The 18,951-nt window shown below is 44.8% G+C and overlaps 1 annotated feature.

Annotated features, from left to right (window-relative positions):
- Positions 5,044–5,213: an enhancer, noted in NCBI's record as "active region_2356". NCBI's record gives its function as "activates an Ori minimal core promoter by ATAC-STARR-seq in GM12878 lymphoblastoid cells {active_cell/tissue: GM12878}" and the evidence as "EXISTENCE:reporter gene assay evidence [ECO:0000049][PMID:35858748]".

Below are 18,951 nucleotides of genomic sequence, written 5' to 3'. Positions count from 1 at the left end.
CTCCCAAACCATGTATACATTTAATTTAGAAATAAACTGTACTTTTCCTAAGCATGCAATGTAGAATGATTTGTTAGTTTATTTTTTACTTGAAGAAGTGAGATTGGGCTTTGGGGGGGTGTTTCTTTGATTTCTTAAAGCAAATTTGTGTATTGGAAAAGTAATTCATGCTCGTGACAAAATTCAGGAGAGTTAGTTGGAGGTCGCAATCAGCAGTCTCATCCCTGCTTCATTATTAACATTGTCCCTTATTTTCCCTTTTGAATGTTTTTACTTTTTCCCCCGGTTATAAAAGTAATACACGTGGCCGGTGCGGTGGCTCACGACTGTAATTCCAGCACTTTGGGAGGCCTCGGCAGGCGGATCACAAGGTCAAGAGATCGAGACCATCCTGGTCAACATGGTGAAACCTCATCTTTACCAAAAATACAAAAATTAGCTAGGCGTGGTGGCACGCGCCTGTAGTCCCAACTACTCGAGAGGCTGAGGCAGGAGAATCGCTTGAATCTGGGAGGCAGAGGTTGCATTGAGCTGACATCGCACCACTGCACTCCAACCTGGCGACAGAGTAAGACTCCATCTCAAAAAAAAAAAAAAAAAAAAAAAGTAAAAAACTTAATACACGTAAGTTTTTTTAGAAACAATACAGAAATATAGAGAGTAGAAAGTTAAAATCTCTATTAATCTCATTCTTGAGAAATAGCTCTCATTAACTTACCATATATCCTTTCTGGCTTTTACACTGAAAATATACTTAAATATATTACACATATAATAGGAGCCCAAGGTCCCCCTGGGGTAGTGGCTCAGCAGAACTCTAATTAGGTGGCAACATTTTACCTAACTTGGGTAAAGGATATAGTTGTGCTACTAAGAAAGGAAACACTTGATGATAAAGCAGATGGGACTTCAGGCACCTTTTATTTCCTCGTGTGCTTGTTCTTCCAGCTGCCGGGTTGGTGATGTGCGAGTCCCAGGCAGCCCAAGACTAGGAATTTATCAGAGCAGAGGGGTCCTGAGCCTCCTCATATCTGGGCTTTTATCTCCTTTCAAAGTAAGAACCACAACTTTAGAATCTTAGCTCCAATCTCTGCCTTACGTGACAGTGCTCTGGCATTGCCATGTCAACAGACCTAATAAGCAAGTTCCTGGTAGCCAATTTCTTTTTTTCTTTCTTTTTCTTTTTCTTTTGTTTTGGTCTTCATTTTTTTGGTCTGTGTGACTCTTACTGGTAACCAATTTCTGTCTGTGCCACGACACCTAGGGTTTTTAAAATTTACCAGAGGGCTCTCCACATAGCTTAAGGGTTTTCCAACCTAGGACTCTCCAAGATGCAGTCCTGGCCTGACTAGTGTGCTATATAGAGTTTATAGTTATATTTCAGTAAACCTAAAGTATCATTGATTGTAAGATACACTTTTATTTTACAAGCCTCTAAGTGGAAGAAAAAAACCAACAACTGCCAATTAAACTGACAGGCCGGCCGGGCAGGGTGGCTCACACCTCTAATCCCAGCACTTTGGGAGGTTGTGGCGGGCGAACCACAAGGTCAGGAGTTCGAGACTAGCCTGGCCAACATGGTGAAATCCTGCCTCTACTAAAAATACAAAAATTAGCCCAGCACAGTGGCACGCATCTGTAATCCCAGCTACTTGGAGGCTGAGGCAAGAGAATTGCTTGATCCTGGGAGGTGGAGGTTGCAGTGAGCCAAGATCACGCCATTGCACTCCAGCCTAGGTGACAGGCTAGGAAAGGATGTACATCTTAGAATGAATGAAAATATGAACAGGCTAAAACTATACATACCGTTTTGCAATTTGCTTTTTTCACTTTACAATATATCTTGAATATCTTTTAATGGTCATCAGCACTTAGAGGCCTACCATATTCTTTTTTTTTTTTTTTTTTTTGAGACAGAGTTTCACTCTTGTTTCCCAAGCTGGAGTGCAATGGCACAATCTCGGCTCAATGCAACCTCCGCCTTCCGGGTTCAAGCTATTCTTCTGCCTCAGCCTCCTGAGTAGCTGGGATTACAGGAATGCACCACCACGCCAGGCTAATTTTGTATTTTTAGTAGAGACGGGGTTTCTCCATGTTGGCCAGGCTGGTCTGGAACTCCTAACCTCAGGTAATCTGCCCACGTCGGCCTACATTCTTTTTAATAGCTCCCATCCCGCTCTCTGTAAGCCTCTTTTTACAATTTATTTCACCAGTCCCTTATTGATGGAAACAATCATGTTTCATTTTCCATTAGTATCTCTCAAGGGGGGGAAAGAAAAAATAATAGGGTAATAAGGACATTGAAGAGGGCAAGCTGGGCAGGGGCTCACGCCTGTAATCCCAGCACTTTGGGAGGCCCAGGCCAGCAGATCACTAGAGGTCAGGAGGTGAAGACCAGCCTGGCCAACGTGGCGAAAGCCTGTCTCTACTAAAAATACAAAATTAGCCGGGTGTGGTGGCACCCGCCTGTAATCCCAGCTACTCAGGAGTCTGAGGCAGGGAAGCACCTGAACCCAGGAGGCAGAGTTTGCAGTGAGCCAAGATTGCACCACTGCACTCCAACCTGGGCAACAGAGAGAGAACCTGTCTCACAGAAAAAAAAAAAAAAAAAGGCAGGAGAAAAAGCCTAAGGCTGTTGCAGAGAGAGAAAACTAGTTGGGAAACCCTCTAAGAGTCAGGAGAGTGCACATGCCAACCTTCCCCACCCCCCCATATATACACACAGAATTCTCAGGGGTGGGGCTGGGCTTGCCCTTTGTATGTTATAAGTGGGGGTGAAGTATCTAAACCAAGGACACAATGCCAGATTCCCCCTATTCATACTGCCCTTCAAATTCTAAATGGATTTTAAACATATCTAGACCTCTTCAGTGAATGACAAAACCTTTTGGGACGTTCAGTGTGTTTTTGCTTTGAGAGCAAAAGTTTGGGGAAAAAATGCAAAATTATTGAGACAAAATTAGGTTCAAGAGAATCTTTATTTAGACTAGAAAAGGAAATCACAACAAATTACACATTAAAAAAAAAAAAAAAACTGTGGCTGGGCACAGTGCCTCATGCCAGTAATCCCAGCACTATGGGAGGCCCAGGCCAGTGGATCACTTGAGCCCAGGAATTCAAGACCAGCCTGGGCAACATGGTAAAACCCCATGTCTACTAAAAATACAAAAATTAGCTGGATGTTGTGGCGTGCACCTGTAATCCCAGCTATTTGGGAGGCTGAGGCAGCAGAATCCCTTGAACCCGGGAGGTGGAGATTACAGTGAGCTGAGATTGTGTACCACTGCACTTCAGCCTGGGCGACAGAGTGAGACTCAGTCAAAAAAAAAAAAAAGAAAGAAAAAAAAATATATATGTATGATTATTGTCAAATTTGGTACAGCTTCTATCAAGTTTCTTAGATATATATAAGCACTAAGACTTTATTGAATTATTTAATACCCTCTTGGCCAGGCAAGAGCTACCATTTTTACTAAATCTATTATTTATTGCTATGTAAAAAATCACCCAAAAATGTAGTGGCTTAAGGAACAAACATTTGTTATTTCACGTGTCTGTGGGTCAGGAATTCAGAAGCAGTTTGGCTGGATGGTTCTGACTCAGAGTCTCTAATGAGTTTGCAATCAAGTTGGCCAGGACTGCAGTCATCTGAAGGCTTGACTGGGGCTAGAAGATACATTTCCAAGTCAACTCATATAGCTGTTAACAGGAGATGAGACCTCAGTTTCTCACTCTGAGGGCCTCTCCGTAGGGCTGCTCAGGATATAGGCAACAAGCTTCTCCCAGAGTGAATGACGAGAGAAATAGTAAAGATAGACACTATAAGCTGCAATGCCTTTTATGACCTAGCCTTGGGCATTACATACCACCATTTCTTCTGTATTCTATTGATCACACAGATTAACACTGGCATTATGTGGGAGGGGACTAAGCAAGGGCATGGTAACAGGAGCCAGGGATCATTGGGGTCTTTCTTGGAGGCTTGCTACCATGCCAGCTGTTAGTGATAACTGACTCGTCCATTTAAAATTTTAGATATGGCCAGGCACAGCGACTCATGCCTGTAATCCCAGCACTTTGGGAGGCCGAGGCGGGCAGATCACCTGATCAGGAGTTCAAGGCCAGCCTGCCAAACATGGTGAAACCCCGTCTCTACTAAAAATACAAAAATTAGCCGGGCGTAGTGGCATGCGCCTGTAATCCCAGCTACCTAGGAGGCTGAGGCAGGAGAATCGCTGGAACCCGGGAGGCAGAGGTTGCAGTGAGCCAAGATCATGCCACTGCACTCCAGCCTGAGCAACAGAGCAAGACTCCATCTGAAAAAAAAAAATAAAAAAAAAATAAAATTTTAGATGTGTGGCCAGGTGCAGTGGCTCACACCTGTATTCCCAGCACTTTGGGAGGCCAAAGCAGGTGGATCACCTGAGATCAGGAGTTCAAGACCAGCCTGGCCAACATGGTGAAACCCCCTCTCTACTAAAAATACAAAAATCAGCCAGGTGTGGTGGCATGCATCTGTAGTCCCAGCTACTTGGGAGGCTGAGGCAGGAGAATCACTCGAACCCAGGAGGCAGAGGTTGCTTGAACCCAGGAGGCAGAGGTTGCGGTAAGCCCAAGTTGCGCCACTGCACTGCAGCCTGGGCGACAGAGCGAGACTCCATCTCAAAAAAAAAAAAAATTTTAGACGTGTGAAGAATTTTCCACAGACTAGCCTCTGATGCCATATGTTTCAAACCTTGTCACCCCTCAATGATTTACATTCTTCCAGTGCCAGATGCTGTAGGGCAGGTTTAAAACAAAATGTGACCTCTGGCCCTACAACATTGGGTCATAATGCTAGATGAGTCACTACAGTGGGCAACAGGGGTATTCTTGAAAACTATTTCTAGCCCCATGAAAGTGACTGTAAATCACATAAATATAACCCAAAATAATTGCATCCCAACCCCCTTTTAGCCAGATCCCAAAATGCCCAATAAGGGGAAGGTACTAGAAAGGACAGCTGAGTGAAAAGAAACAGGGCTTTTAACCATTGTCATTAAAATCTTACTTTTGCAAGTTTTAGAATGACTGCATTGCTAAGGCCCTGTCCAGAGCCTTGAAGGGAGCTTGTGAAAGAAAGGGTACCTGAAGGTTAAGCTTCATTATTTGCATAGCAGATCGGTAGTAGGATGTGTTGACTCTCATATAATCTGGATTCAAATGCTGACCCAGCCTTCACCCTGAGGCTCTAGTCCACCCTGCGGGCTTTACAAACTGAGGGTAGCCCTGTGTCTGTACTACCCGACATGAGAGATTGGAGTGGGAGAGAAACCACCATGTGAGTAGCTAGTCCCTTCCCCCACAGTGTTCATCACCACTGTCCATCATCTTGCCTTTTTGTTGTTGTTATTGTTGTTGTTTTTGAGACAGAGTTTCACTCTTCTGCCCAGGCTGGAGTGCGATGGCGCGCTCTCAGCTCACTGCGAACTTTGCCTCGCAGGTACAAGCGATTCTCCTGCCTCAGCCTCCCGAGTAGTTGAGATTATAGGCGCCTGCCACCATGCCCAACTAATTTTTTTTGTATTTTCAGTAGAGACGGGGTTTCACCATGTTGGCCAGGCTGGTCTTGAACTCCTGACCTCAGGTGATCCGCCCACCTTGGCCTCCCAAAGTGCTGGGATTACAGGTGTGAGCCACCGCGCCCAGTCTCATCTTGCCTCTTTTTATCCCTGCCTTTGGGTCTCAGCTGTCTGACATGTGTGAGAAGATAGTGACTAACAGAGCATTCTACCGAGAAGCCTTAGACAGGAGTCACAAATAACTTACTAACTGCGGATGACACAATTTAAACTTCTTTCTCTGACTGTGGGATCTGAACTGGTATCATCAAAAATCAACACTTCTAGGCCTGCCTTCCCCTTCCAATGCTTCCAATGCATCCTTTTGCTGTTTTATTTCCTCATAAGGATTTTTTACTTGGTCCTCAAATAACATTGTTTCATTCAATGTCATTTCATTAAAATGATGATGAGGAAAAAATAAATCAATTCCAGGCCGAGTACACTGTCTGGGTGGATTTTACACATTTCACTCGTGTCTGTGTGAGTTTTCTCCAGGTACTCCAGTTTCCTCCCACATCCCAAAGATGTGCAAATTAGGTGAACTGGTATGTCTAAATGATCCCAGTCTTAGTGAGCCTGGATGTGAGTGTACCCTGTGATGGAATAGCAGCAGCCTGTCCAGGTTTGGTTTCTGCTCTTCTCCCTGAGCTGCTGGGATAAGATCCAGCTACCAAGGCCCTGAAATGGAATAACTGGGTAAATACTTAGCTTGTTCTTACTAATTTTTTTTTTTTTTTTTTTTTTTTAGACAGAGTCTTGCTCTGTTACCCAGGCTGGAGTGTGGTGGCACAATCTCAGCTCACTCAACCTCCACCTCCTGGGTTCAAGTGTTTCTCCTGCCTCAGCCTCCTGAGTAGCTGGGATTACAGGTGCCTGCCACCATGCCCAGCTAATTTTTATATTTTTAGTAGAGACGGGTGTGATGGTTAATACTGAGTGTCAACTTGATTGGATTGAACAATACAAACTATTGATCCTGGGTGTGTCTGTGAAGGTGTTGCCAAAGGACATTAACATTTGAATCAGTGAGGCTGGGCGCGGTGTCTCATGCCTGTAATCCCAGCACTTTGGGAGGCCGAGGCTGGTGGATCACAAGGTCAGGAGATCCAGACCATCCTGGCTAACACAGTGAAACCCCGTCTCTACTAAAAATACAAAGATTAGCCGGGCGTGGCAGCGTGTGCCTGTAGTCCCAGCTGCTGGGGAGGCTGAGGCAGGAGAATGGCGTGAACCCGGGAGGTGTAGCTTGCAGTGAGCCGAGATTGTGCCACTGCACTCCAGCCTGGGCGACAGAGTGAGACTCCATCTCAAAAAAAAAAAAAAAAAAAAAAAAAAAAAACCATTTGAATCAGTGTGCTGGCCTGGGAAAGGGCAGACCCACCCTTAATCTGGGTGGGCACAATCTAATCAGCTGCCAGCATGGCTACAATATAAGCAGGCAGAAAAATGTGAAAAGAGAGACTGACCTAGCCTCCCAGCCTACACCTTTCTCCCTTGCTGGATGCTTTCTGCCCTCAAACATCGGACTCCAGGTTCTTCGGTTTTGGGACTCAGACTGGTTCTCCTTGCTCCTCAGCCTGCAGACAGCCTATTGTGGGACCTTGTGATGGTGTGAGTTAATACTTATTAAACTCCCCTTTATATGTGTGTCTATTCCATTAGTTCTGTCCCTCTAGAGAACCCTGACTAATACAAGGGCGTTTCACCATGTTGGCCAAGGCTGGTCTCGAACTCCTGACCTCAAGTGATCCACTGGCCTGAGCCTCCCAAAGTGCTGGGATTACAGGCATGAGCCACTGCTCCCAGCCTACTGACCTCTCTTAAATGTATCTATAACTCGCATTTATTTCAGTGTTTAATATTGAATGTTTAATGTTCAATGTTTTGGTCTTTATTTAGAAGTTTGAGCCTGGGCAACACAGCAAGACCCTGTCTTTAAAAAAACAAAAAAAATACAAAATTTAGTGGGGCATGGTGATGCACACCCATTGCCTCAGCTATTTGGGAGAGTGAGGCAGGATGATCACTTGAACCCAGGAATTTGAGGGTGCAGTGAGCTATGATCATGATACTACACTCCAGCCTTGGTGACAGAGTGAGACTCCATCTCTAAAAAAATTAAAATTAAAAGAAATATGTTTGAGGATATTTATATGACCAGAAATATGCTGTAGGAACTCAACTTTTGTTTATATCAGTTAGCCTATAGTAAAATTGGTTTTGCTATCACTGTTTCACTTAAAGTTGAAGTTTCCAAGAACATATTGATAATATTAAATGAGAACCTTACTGTATGTAGGTTTTTTTTGATACGGAGTCTTGCTGTCACCCAGGCTGGAATGCAATGGCGTGATCTTGGCTTACTGCAACCTCCTCCTCCCAGGTTCAAGTGATTCTCCTGCCTCACCCTCTCGAGTAGCTGGGATTACAGGCACCTGCTACCATGCCTGGCTAATTTTTGTATATTTAGTAGAGATGAGGTTTCGCCGTGTCGGCCAGGCTGGTTTTGAACTCCTGACCTCAAGTGATCTGCCTGCCTCGGTCTCCCAAAGTGCTGGGATTACAGTTTTTTTTTTTGAGATGGAGTTTCACTCTTGTTGCCTGCGCTGGAGTGCAATGGCAGGATCTCAGCTCACCACAACCTCCGCCTCCCAGGTTCAAGCGATTCTCCTGCCTCAGCCTCCCAAGTAGCTGGGATTACAGGCATAAGCCACCATGCCCAGCTAATTTTGTATTTTTAGTAGAGACGGGGGGTTCTCCATGTTGGTCGGGCTGGTCTCGAACACCTGACCTCAGGTGATCCACCTCCCTTGGCCTCCCAAAGTGCTGGGATTACAGGCGTGAGCCACCGCTGAGGCAGCTGGCGTGATCCCAGGCTATGGCAGCTGGACCATTTGAGGTCAGGAGGTCAGGAATTTGAAACCAGCCTGGCCAACATGGTGAAACCTCGTCTGTACTAAAAAAAAAAAAAAAAAAAAAAAAAAACTAATTGGGCATAGTGGTGTGCACTTGTAGTCCCAGCTACTCAGGAGGCTGAGACAGGGGAATTGCTTGAACCCGGGAGGCAGAGGTTGCAGTAAGCTGAGATGGAGCACTGCACTCTAGCCTGGGCAACAGAGTGAAACTCCGTCTCAAAAAAAAAAAAAGAGAGGTAATCAGTCCCTGTGTTGCTGCATCTTCTGATTTTTCAAGAAAAGCTAAGAATTCAGATTTTTAGTGAAAGTTTCTGATTTGTAAATTTAGCACTTAATTCAAACAGAACAACAAAATAATCATTTTATGGGCATGGGCACCCTTTACTTCAGTTCTAGCGGAGTTAGAAAGGAGGAGATGGTCATTGGAAAATGGTGTTTCAGGAAGTACTTTCTGAAGCAGGTGAGACTTGAGCTTAACCTTAACCTGGGCAGAGGTGAGAGGTAAGTGAAGAGGAGTGTATTAGTGTTTTCACACTGCTGATAAAGACATACCTGAGACTGGGCACTTTAAAAGAAAGAAAGAGGTTTATTGGACTTACTCCAATATAAGGGAATTGTGGCTTGGGAGGCCTCACAATCATGGTAGAAGGTGAAAGGCACATCTCACATGGCGGGAGACAAGAGAAGAGAGCTTGTGCAGGGAAACTCCCCTTCTTAAAACTATCAGATCCCTTTAAAACTTTGCTATCATGAGAACATCATGGGAAAGACCTGCCCCCATGATTCAATTATGGGTCCCTCCCACAACACGTGCAAATACAAGATGAGATTTGGGTGGGACATAGCCAAACCACTTCAAGGAAGAAAGAAATTATATTACAGAGATCCCTGAAGGGATGATGGAGAAGAGCTCACAGGTTACAGGAGGAGAGGACATTGTAAAGGTAGGTTTGAGTTAGATTGTAGACGGTTTTGAATGTTGAGAAGGCATCGGGATCATACTCCATTGGCGACAAGAATTCCTGGAAGGCTTTGAAATGGAGACAAAATGGTAGAAGATGTGACATTAGCAAAGTTGTGTTTCAGAAATACTGAACTAGTGGTGATGTTGGGCAGAAGTGACTGCAATAGTCAGTGAAAGCATCAATGAGTGGTCCCTCTTGGTCCTATCTGTTATCCCCTCTTTATCTCGCAGCTTAATTTATCCCACTCTAGTTGTTCCCCAAAGCCTAGTAACATACATGCATCCTATTCTATTATGCTCAATCTTGCCTTTCCCTCTGGCACTCCTAATTTCTCATCTTATCTTCCTTCCAATTTCCTTGACTGCTTTGTTGGCTCTCATACACTCTTTAATCTGTTTCATTTGGGTGTATGTTCTCATGGATTCCCTGAAATTACTGTGGTAAAGTCATTAGTTTTAAATTGAATAGATCCTTTTCAGTTTTTATTTTTCTTCATGTTATTAGCCAGCATTTATTGATAGTTTATTATGTGCCAGCACTGTGTTAATAGCTTTATTTACATTATCTAATTTAATCCACACAATAACTTTATAAAATAAGTATGATTATTAACCTCTTCTTACAAATGTTTATAAACTTCTAGTGACTTGTTAAAAGTGTCATTGCTGGGAAGTGGCAAAGGAAAGTTGTAAACCAGGTCTGTCCAACTACAAATCAATATGCAAAAATTTGACCTCATCCACCATTTTCTTTAAACTCCCCTCCCTTCATCTAAAAGACAAAATTCTTTCATGTTTTTTTTTTTTTTTTTTTTTTTTGAGACAGAGTATCACTCTGTCACCCAGGCTGGAGTTCAGTGGCATGATCTCAGCTCACTTCAGTCTCCATCTCCCAGATTCAAATGAGTCTCATGCCTCAGCTCCTGAGTAGTTGGGACCACAGGCGCCCGCCATCACACCTGGTTAATTTTTGTATGTTTTGTAGAGATAGGGTTTTGCTCTGTTGGCCAGGCTGGTCTCAAACTCCTGGTCTCAAGTAATCTGCCTGCCTCAGCCTCCCAAAGTGCTGGGATTACAGGTGTGAGCCATTGTGCCTGGCCAAGACAAAATTCTATCCTGTTTTTTTTCCCCAAACTCTCTGGCTGCTCATTCTCTAGTTCCTTGGCAGTTTCCTCTTTCTCCCCTCATTTAACTGTGTGTTGTTGTTGTTGTTGAGACAGGATCTTGCTCTGTTGCCTAGGGTGGGGTGCGGTGGTGTGATCTCAGCTCACTGCAGCCTCAACCTTTTGCACTCAAGTGATCCTCCCACCTCAGCCTCCTGAGTAGCTGGGACTACATACAGGTGTACACCACCATGTCTGGCTAATTTTTGTATTTTTTCATAGAGATGGGGTTACACCATGTTGCTCAGGCTTTTCTCAAACCCCTGGCCTCAAGTGATCCACCTGCTTTGGCCTCCCAAAGTGCTGGGATTACAGGGGTAAGCTACCATGCCTGGCCCTTTGAAACATTTTCTAAGTCAAAGCAAGCAAGCAAGCAAGCAAGCAAGCAGGAGAGGCTATATTAATATCAGATAAATAGACTTCAGAACAAGGAATATTACCAGCAATAAAGAGGGGCATTAAATAATGACAAAGGAGTCAATTCACCAAGAAGCCATTAGCAATCCTAAATATGCATGCAACTAACAATAGAGCTTCAAAACCCATGAAGGCTTTACGGAGGTAGAACTGAAAGGAAAAACAGAGAAATCCACAATTATATTTGAATCCATCAGCACTCTTCTCTGAGCAATTGATAGAACAAGTAGATGGAACATCAGTAAAGATATAGATGACCTGAACAACAAACACTGTCAACCAGCTTGAGTTCACTGATGTTTTCAAAGCATTTTGCTCAACAGCAGTTGAATACACATTCTTTTCATGTGAAATCCCACAAGAAACTTGGAGAATTATGTCTTGACCTGAGATTGTCAAGAATGGGCTTCCCCCTCTTACAGAGTCAGTTTTCCAGGACACCTGCGGCAAACTCAAACTTTGTCAGAGATTCTCTGCTTCTGAGTACAGCTTACTTATGGACCTAGCATTTATTTAGCCACGTAGAGACCTCCCCTGATGTGTCTGCCTGGTGTCTCTCTGAGCAATGATGGCTTTACGTGGCTGGCTTCTGCTTTGATGTTTGCTATGAGCTCCAGGGAAGAAACATCTTCCTTAAATGAATGCCGTATCTGATACATAATATAAATCAGTTCATCTGCGGTGGCTCATGCCTGTCATCCCAGCACTTTGGAAGGCTGACTTGGGCAAATCACTTGAGGCCAGGAGTTTGAGACCAGCCTGGCCAACATGATGAAACCCCATCTCTACTACAAATACAAAATTAGCTGGGTATGGTGGCAGGCGCCTGTAATCCCAGCTACCTGGGAGGCTGAGATGGGAGAATCGCTTGAACCTGGCAGGCAGAGGTTGCAGTGAGCTGAGATTGTGCCATTGCACTCCAGACTGGGCAACAAGAGCGAGACCTTGTCTCAAAAAAAAAAAAAAGAAAAAAAGAAATTAATTTATCAAGAAACCAGCAAATGTTTCAGGCCCAACAGCCTTTTTTTCCACTTCCTCGTTTCTTCTTTTTCTTGTTTGTTTTTTTTTGAGACGGAGTCTGGCTCTGTCGCCCAGGCTGGAATGCAGTGGTGCAATCTAGGCTCACTGCAACCTCTGCCTCCTGGGTTCAAGCGATTCTCCTGCCTCAGCCTCCCAAGTAGCTGGGACTACAGGTGCGTGCCATCATGCCCAACTAATTTTTTATATTTTTAGTAGAGATGGGGTTTCACTGTGTTTGCCAGGATGGTCTCGATCTCCTGACCTCGTGATCCATCCGCCTCGACCTCCCAAAGTTCTGGGATTACAGGCGTGAGCCACTGTCCCCGGCCCTCGTTTCTCCTTTAGAAACCTAGATTTGTGTGCATGCCTACGTATGCTCATCTTTTTACTTCTCTGAATCTGACCACAGGGCTTCAGATATTATCATGTTCTTCTATCATCAGACATATTAAATTATGTCATTGTAGTAGATAAAATAATGCCCCCCAACAAAGATGTTCACATCCTAATCCCTGAAACCTGTGACTGTGTTACCTTGCATGGTAAAAAGGATTTTGTAAGACCAGGCGCAGTGGCTCATGCCTGTAATCCCAGCACTCTGGAAGGCCTAGGCGGGCGGCTCACCTGAGGTCAGGAGCTCGATACCAGCTTGGCCAACATGGTAAAACTCTGTCTCCACTAAAAATACAAAAATTAGCCGGGCATGGTGGCATGCATCTGTAATCCCAGCTACTTAGGAGGCTGAGGCAGGAGAATTGCTTGAACCTGGGAGGCCTCTTCTAATTACATTGGGCCCACTCTGATATCCAGGATAGTCTCCTCATCTCAAGACCTTTACTCATACCTGCAAAGTCCTCTTTTTTTTTTTGAGGTGGAGTCTCACTCTTGTCGCCCAGGCTGGAGTGCAGTGGTGTGATCTCGGCTTGGGGCACAGCGTGCTGGGGAGAGTGAAGGAAAGAGAGCAGGAGCTCTTTTTGTGAGAAAGGATGTGTTTTCCTCAGTTGGAGTAGAGAGGTGGGACGTCCACATTCCTGAGAAGAGACTCAAATAAGCACATAAGCATGAGGGCAGGGAGGGCAGGCCCGTGGGCCCAGGGCTGGCTACATAATGTGTAGGGCCCAGTGCAAAATGAAAATGTGGAAACACTTGTTCACAAAATAGAAAAAAAATACTGTTGGCTGGGCATGGTGGCTCACGCCTGTAATCCCAGCACTGTGGGAGGCTAAGGCTGGCAGATCACCTGAGGTCAGGCGTTTGAGACCAGCCTGACCAACATGGTGAAACCCCTCCTCTACTAAAAATACAAACATTAGCTGGGCATGGTGGCACATGCCTGTAATCCCAGCTACTCAAGAGGCTGAGGCAGGAGAATAGCTTGAACCCGGGAGGCAGAGGTTGCAGTGAGCCGAGATCGTGCCATTGTACTCCAGTCTCGGTGACAGAGCAAAACTCCTCTCAAAAAAAAAAAAACAAAAAAAAAAACAGGCCGGGCGTGGTGGCTCACGCCTATAATCCCAGCACTTTGGGAGGCAGAGACGGGCGGATTACGAGGTCAGGAGATTGAGACCATCCTAGCTAACACGGTGAAACCCCATCTCTACTAAAAACACAAAAAAATTAGCCGGGCATGGTGGCGGGCACCTGTAGTCCCAGCTACTCGGGAGGCTGAGGCGGAAGAATGGCGTGAACCCGGGAGGCGGAGCTTGCAGTGAGCTGAGATCACGCCACTGCACTCCAGCCTGGGCAACACAGCGAGACTCCGTCTCAAAAAAAAAAAAAAACATACTGTTAAAGGTGCTAAAATATAAAGCTTTCCCCTTTCTTCTAGTCCAAGCTTGTTCAACCCACAGCCTGCAGGCTCCATGCAGCCCAGGATGGCTTTGAAAATAGCCCAACACATATTCAAATTCATAAACTTTCTTAAAACATGAGATTTTTTGGAGATTTTGTTTTTTGTTTTTTGTTTTTTAGCTTATCAGCTATCATTGGTGTTAGCATATTTTATGTGTAGTCCAAGACAATTCTTCTTCTTTCTTTTTTTTTTTTGGTGAGATGGAGATTTACTCTTGTTGCCCAGGCTGGAGTTCAAGGGCGTGATCTTGGCTCACCGCATCCTCCGCCTCCCAGGTTCAAGCGATTCTCCTACCTCAGCCTCCCGAGTAGCTGGGATTACAGGCATGTGTCACCACGCCCGGCTAATTCTGTATTTGTAGTACAGATGAAGTTTCACCGTGTTGCCCAGGCTGATCTCGAACTCCTGACCTCAGGTAATCCTCTCGCCTCGGCCTCCCAAACAGCTGGGATTACAGGCGTGAGCCACTGCGCCCAGTCAATTCTTCTTTCAATGTGGCCCAGGGAAGCTAAAAGATTGGACATCCCTATATGTAGTCTTTCTTTTTTCTTTTCTTTTCTTTTTTTTGTTTGAAACGGAGTCTCGCTCTGTAGCCCAGGCTGGAGTGCAGTGGCGCGATCTCGGGCTCACTGCAAGCTCCGCCTCCCGGGCTCATGCCATTCTCCTGCCTCAGCCTCCCGAGTAGCTGGGACTACAGGTGCCCGCCACCACGCCCGGCTAATTTTTTTTTTTTGTATTTTTAGTAGAGACAGGGTTTCACCGTGTTAGCCGGGATGGTCTCAATCTCCTGACCTCGTGATCCGCCCGTCTTGGCCTCCCAAAGTGCTGGGATTACAGGCGTGAGCCATCGCGCCCAGCCTATCTAGTCTTTCTTGACATGGTGTTTTAAATTTACTATTTAATGCCATTCTAAGTAAAGAAAATTAACTTTTTTTTTTTTTTTTGAGGCGGAGTTTCCTTCTTGTTGCCCAGGCTGGAGTGCAATGGCGGGATCTCGACTCACTGCAACCTCTGCCTCCCGGGTTCAAGCAATTCTCCTGCCTCAGCCTCCTCAGTAGGTGAGATTACAGGCACACGCCACCATGCCCAGCTAATTTTTGTATTTTTAGTAGAGATGGGGTTTCACCATGTTGGCCAGGCTGGTCTCGAACTTCTGACCTCAGGTGATCCACCCACCTCAGCCTCCCAAAGTGCTGAGATTACAGGCATGAGCCACCATGCCCAGCCAAGAAAATTAGCATTTAACATAGTTAGCATGACTTCATCTTTATATTGTGCAATGCCAGCTTTATGGTTTTATTTTTTTATTTTTTATTTTTTTGAAACAGAGTTTCACTCTTGTTACCTAGGCTAGAGTGCAATGGAGCAATCTCGGCTCACTACAACCTCCGCCTCCTGGGTTCAAGCAATTCTCCTGCCTCAGCCTCCCAAGTAGCTGGGATTACAGGTGCCCGTGACAAAGCCTGGCTAATTTTTGTATTTTTAGTAGAGATGGGGTTTCACCATGTTGGCCAGGCTAGTCTCGAACTCCTGACCTCAGGTGATCTGCCTGCCTCTGCCTCTCAAAGTGCTGGGATTACAGGCATGAGCCACAGTGCCCAGCCTAATGCCAGCTTTATTTTTTACTTATTTATTTTTTCTTGAGATAGAGTCTTGCTCTGTCACCCAGGCTAGAGTGCAGTGATCTTGGCTCACTGCAACCTCTGCCTCCCAGGTTTAAGTGATTCTCCTGCCTCAGCCTCCCAAGTAGTTGGGATTACAGGTGTGTGCCACCACACCTGGCTAATTTTTCTATTTTTGGTAGAGACGGGGTTTCACCATGCTGGCCAGGCTGGTCTCAAACTCCTGACCTCAAGTGATCTGCCTGCCTCGGCCTCCCAAAGTGCTGGGATTACAGGCATGAGACACCACGCCTGGCCTTTCATGTTTATCTCTTGATCATATGCTAAACAAGGGGCAGATTATTCATTAGTTTACTGGGAAAGGGGTGGAGATTTCCCAAAACTAAAGGTTCATCTTCCTTTCAGACCATAGAGGGTAACTTCTAGACATTGCTATGGCATTTGTAAACTGTCATGGTGCCGGTAGGAGTGTCTTTTAGCATGCTAATGCATTCTAATGAGCATATAATGAGCAGTGAGGATGACTAGGGGTCACTCTCGTCGCCATCTTGGTTTCGATGGGTTTTGGCTGGCTTCTTTATCGCAGCCTGTTTTATCAGTAAGGTCTTTGTGACCTGTATCTTGTGCCGACCACCTATCTCATTCTGTGACTAAGAATGCCTAACCTTCTGGGAATGCAGCCCAGCAGGTCTCAGCCTCATTTTACCCAGCTGCCATTTAAGATGGAGTCGCTCTGGTTCCAGTGCCTCTGACTTACCCACTCTGAATCATGCTGAACTTCCATGAAATGTGGGTCTGCCAGAATTCTTTACTCATAAGGCACTGCAAAAACTATATATAAATGGGAGGCAATGGATGATGGACATGCATATTATGAGTATCTTCTCTTCCCATGTGCATTCTCCATTGTCCCAACAGACTTCATTTACAAAACACGAGTTCAAAGATAAGAATTTCTTTCAAAGGTAAGAATTTCAAGATGGCAACATCACAATATTAAACCAAGTGCAGGGCCCTTCTGAGTGCCAGGCCCCATGCAACTGCTTAGGCAGCACGTCCAGGAAGCTGGCCCTGCATGGGAAATTGCGCTCTTGTGAAGGGCTTCAGGTTCCTTTCATTTCCCCTGGAGAGTCAAAGAAGCATCGGAGATAAAAGAAAAAGTTAGAGTTTTCTGGCTATGTTGTCATATTCTTCTGAAATGATCCTAACTCTTCAGGGTAGAAACAGACATCTACCTTCCCAGTCTGGAGCTGGGAATGCTGAAGGAAACGATTGGTAAGAGGAAAGGGAGGCCTGTTTACTTCCATTTCTCTCTAACTTCAGGGGAGCAGGACACCGGCTTATTGACTGAGAGTTTCTGGAAATATTTGCAAGTCAGTATAGGCCCTCAGCCCACAGGAAACCCAGAATTGACGATAAAGCCTGTCATAGTAAGGGGGTGCTGAAGGAGAACAGATGCCAGAGGGACAGCAAGACCTCATCTTCCATTCACCATTAGAGGGTGGGTGCTTCTAGAGGGAAGGAGGGAACTTAGCAAACCTCTGTATTTTGTACTAAACAGTATCCTGAATGAAGACACAATCAATATAATGTAGGTTTGGGTAATTAATTCATTTTATTTAACTAATTAAGGAATCAAAATGGGTTAGTTATCTTTGTTTGTTTGAGGCAGAGTCTTGCTATCACCCAGGCTGGAATGCAGAGGCAAGAATATGGCTCACTGCAGCCTCAACCTCTTGGGCTCAAGTGATCCTCCCACCTCAGCCTCCCGAGTAGCTGGAACTACAGGCAGGCACCACCATGTCTAGCTAATTTTTGTATTTTTTGTAGAGATGGGTTTTACCATGTTGCCCAGGCTGGTCTTGAACCCCTGGGCTGAAGTCATCTGCCTGCCGTGGCCTCCCACAGAGCTGGGATTATAGGCGTGAGCCACTGTACCTGGCCTTGGTTATCTTTATATCTACTTTTTCATCCTATCCTAATCTTGAAAAAATTTCCTCATATTTAGCATCATCGAGTGTATGAGATAAGACAATTAGTCAACATTTCCTGGCAACTAATGTGAGAAAACAAAACCATAAATGGAAAGAAAAAAATTAACATTCAATAAAAAATTTTTCATTGATTCATTTGCAAAAATTTCTTAAAACAAGAAATAAACAGAAAAGTTACGTATCTAAATATGAGACAATCTACAGTGCATTAATCATTCTTGATTTGGGAGAGTATGTAAGTGTGACTGGCTGATTGAGGTATCCAGCTTGTTGGTGTGTAAACAAGCAAGAGCTGCCTTAAGGCCCAGTGTGGTGGCTCACGCCTGTAATTCCAGCACTTTGGGAGGCCACAGCAGGTGGATCACCTGAGGTCAGAAGTTCGAGACCAGCCTAACCAACATGGTGAAACCCCATCTCTACTAAAAATACAAAATTACCATGGTAGCAGGCGCCTGTAATCTCAGCTACTTGGGAGGCGAAGGCAGGAGAATTGCTTGAACTTGGGAGGTGGAGGTTGCAGTGAGCCAAGATCATGCCATTGCACTCCAGCCTGGGTGACAAGACCAAAGCTCCATCTCAAAAAATAAAAAAGAGCTGGCTTAGTTTATTCCAGGACCTGCCCCCAACTGATACGTTGTCCCTCCCACCCTTACTGGGTGACAGATGTCTTCATAACTTCTAATTTAGATCTCATAACTTTTCATCCCCTCTTAGTTATGAGAATTCTGTCATGCCAATGTTTAAGATTTTGTTCAGTCCATTTAAGCTTCATTCTCACATATGATACAAACTTCTCCTTACTTGACTATGGGATTGTCCTTTCGATGCGCTTGCTGCTGCCCTGGCTAACCCTGCATGGTCATCAGTACCAGACTGTCATGGTTCCCTCTGTGTGGCATGAATTTAAATGCTGGCCACTTGGTGGAGTGATGGTCTGTTTTCACTCACGACACTTCTGACACCAGATGTGTGGATTTTCTCCCCCCAACAGCTGACCAATTTTCCAGCTTTCTGGACACCAGTTGGGTGCCCTGCAATTCAATTCTTACACTAACCTGTCTCTCCTTATCTACAATAGATTGACTTATTTAACCCAAATATACATATAAAGTCGTTTTAGAATTGCTAAGCCATGCCTCTGTGAGATACAAATTTACCAACCAGAGTGCAGTTTTTGTATACAGTTCTTTGTGTCCTTATCTACAGTTATAAGTCAAAACATTGTTTTCCAACTTTGTCAGTTCTTTTTTCCCCATCCCTTTCAGTGAGTTGATATCATACATTTATAATACAATTAGATTCATTTGCCACAATTTGCATACCATCCTGGGTTCCCTTGACAGTCTGTTCATTTTTAAAAAATTTGCATACAATAAAAGCCCCTTTGTCTAGTGTACAGTT

Source organism: Homo sapiens, chromosome 1 (assembly GCF_000001405.40).
Source record: "Homo sapiens chromosome 1, GRCh38.p14 Primary Assembly".
Lineage (NCBI taxonomy): Eukaryota > Metazoa > Chordata > Mammalia > Primates > Hominidae > Homo > Homo sapiens.
Note: the sequence above shows the minus strand (reverse complement) of the source record. Positions and strands in the feature narration are given on the sequence as shown.